Source organism: Homo sapiens, chromosome 12, assembly GCF_000001405.40.
Source record: "Homo sapiens chromosome 12, GRCh38.p14 Primary Assembly".
NCBI classification, from domain to species: domain Eukaryota; kingdom Metazoa; phylum Chordata; class Mammalia; order Primates; family Hominidae; genus Homo; species Homo sapiens.
In genome coordinates, this window is record NC_000012.12 from 83196741 (window position 1) to 83198769 (window position 2029).

Here is a 2029-nt window from a genome sequence, read left to right on the forward strand (position 1 = left end):
CAAGAGAAAGTCACACAGTGAGGCTTGGGGTTTCTATCTTTATGTGTTTCCTTAACCAAGAGGTAGAATATTCATGAAAATTCCTGGAAAAAGGTACAGATTTCTTGGAACTGTAACACCAACCATTTTTACACCAGATAAGGATGTTCTTGGAACTGTCATGGTACTGGTGGGTATGTAATTTAGTATGCTAAATAGCATATAATGATGTCCTAGAAGAAACCTAGGTCAAATCCAGCACCATGTTGGGTCTAGTTGGTCATAGTCAGCGTGCTCCACATCCTGGATTTTCAAGGTCTTATAACCTCTAGTCATGTGAAACTGATGACTAGAATTTTTTATTCTCCTGCAACCACCCTTCGTTATTCCTGTCTCACTTTTCTAATGTGATTGTGTAAGAGTTGCTTTATGTCACTTTGGTATTAAGATTTGATTATGAAGACGAGTCCTCAAAGGGAGAGGATCCCAGAGCTGGAGATAGTATCCAGAGATCCAGAATAACTGACTTCTTATACACAACTGTGTATCTCAGATTACATTTATAAGCCATTTCTCAAATCCAGTTTCTATAGAACTCATCTGGCCAAATACAAATTAAGAGTGTTGATGAAAAAAGCCAAACTCTGTAAAATATTTACAGAGATTTATTCTGAGCCCAATGTGAGGACCATGACCCATAACACAGCCTCAGGAAGTCCTGAGAATGTGTGTCCAAGGTGGTTGGTTTGCAGCTTGATTTTATACATTTTAGGTTGACAGAAGTTACAGGCAGAGATATAAATCAATACATGTAGGCTATACGTTGGTTTAGCCCAAAAAGACAGGACTTGTTAGAGCAGGGGTTTGCAAGTCGTAGATTTCATTCAAAGATTTCCTGATGGGCAATTGGTTAAAGATTTAAGCTTTGCCTAAAGAGTTGAAGTCAGCAGAAAGAAATTCTTGGGGTTAAGATAAGGGGGGTTGTGGAAGCCAAGGTTCTTGTTATGTAGATGAAGCCTCCAGGTGGCAGGCTTCAGAGAGAATAGACGACAAATGTTTCTTATCAGATCATAAAAGGTATTAAACACTCTTACTTAAATCTCTCCTGGATTAGGAAAATACTTGGAAAGGGAAAGGGAATCTCTGCAGAATGTAAATCTTCCCGAGAAGAGATGCCTTTACAAGGCCATTTCAAAATATGTGAAAGAAATATATGTTGGAATAAAATACTTTGATTTCCTTTACCTGTTACCTATTATGTGATGTTATATGAGAGTCAGGTTGGAGTTGTTATCTTACTGCTACAAAGTATCTGTTCTGTCACTCTTTCTATCTCTATTCTAATGTTTTATTTTTGGTTTATGAGGGGTTCCATTTGCATAATTACAGAAGGAAAATCTCTAGGATTTAGACAAGAATCTCAACTTTAAATAAGACCACCGGGTGATTAATTTTCATACCAAATATTGAGAATCACTAACCTAAATTATTTAAAAAGGAACCAGTTGCTGCTCAAGAAAACCAGTAGTTTCTATCAGAGAGGCTATTTTATTGTGCATATATTAAACTCATATAGTGTGTAAATTCATGCTTAAAAAATACTCTAATAAATGCTTTATTGCATCCAAACAATAAAAGAAGGTATTCTTGCCCTCTGAAAATTTACAATGTGGATTAGTTTTATTGAGAGTCTTGTCATTTAGGTCCATTTTAAGAAAAGCAAAAAGAAAAATGCCTTGTTCTTTGCTATAATGGTTGGCAGAAACTCCAAGGAGTGATTTATTGGAAATTAGTGCCAAATTTTGAGGAAGGTAATGGATTTCTCATTGTGTAAAAGAATCCCAATGCATCATTAAAAAACAAAACTTTCCTTTGAATTGTAAATATTCATCTCAATTTGCCAAATTTGCAGGAGTGAAAGATGAAGAGAAAGTCTGTCTTATATTTGGTGAATTGATTATTGCACTGCTGGATGTCCAGGGACAAAAATCAAGCAGGAGAAACAAGTTACTGTTTGGAAAGTGTTAAAAACAACAGCCAGATTGTTTCT

General features: G+C 35.8%; 1 annotated feature.

The window, feature by feature from the left end:
- Positions 649 to 1322: an enhancer, noted in NCBI's record as "OCT4-NANOG hESC enhancer chr12:83591168-83591841 (GRCh37/hg19 assembly coordinates)". NCBI's record gives its function as "activates a minimal SCP1, AML or CMV promoter by ChIP-STARR-seq in naive and primed H9 embryonic stem cells {active_cell/tissue: H9 hESC(naive and primed)}" and the evidence as "EXISTENCE:reporter gene assay evidence [ECO:0000049][PMID:30033119]".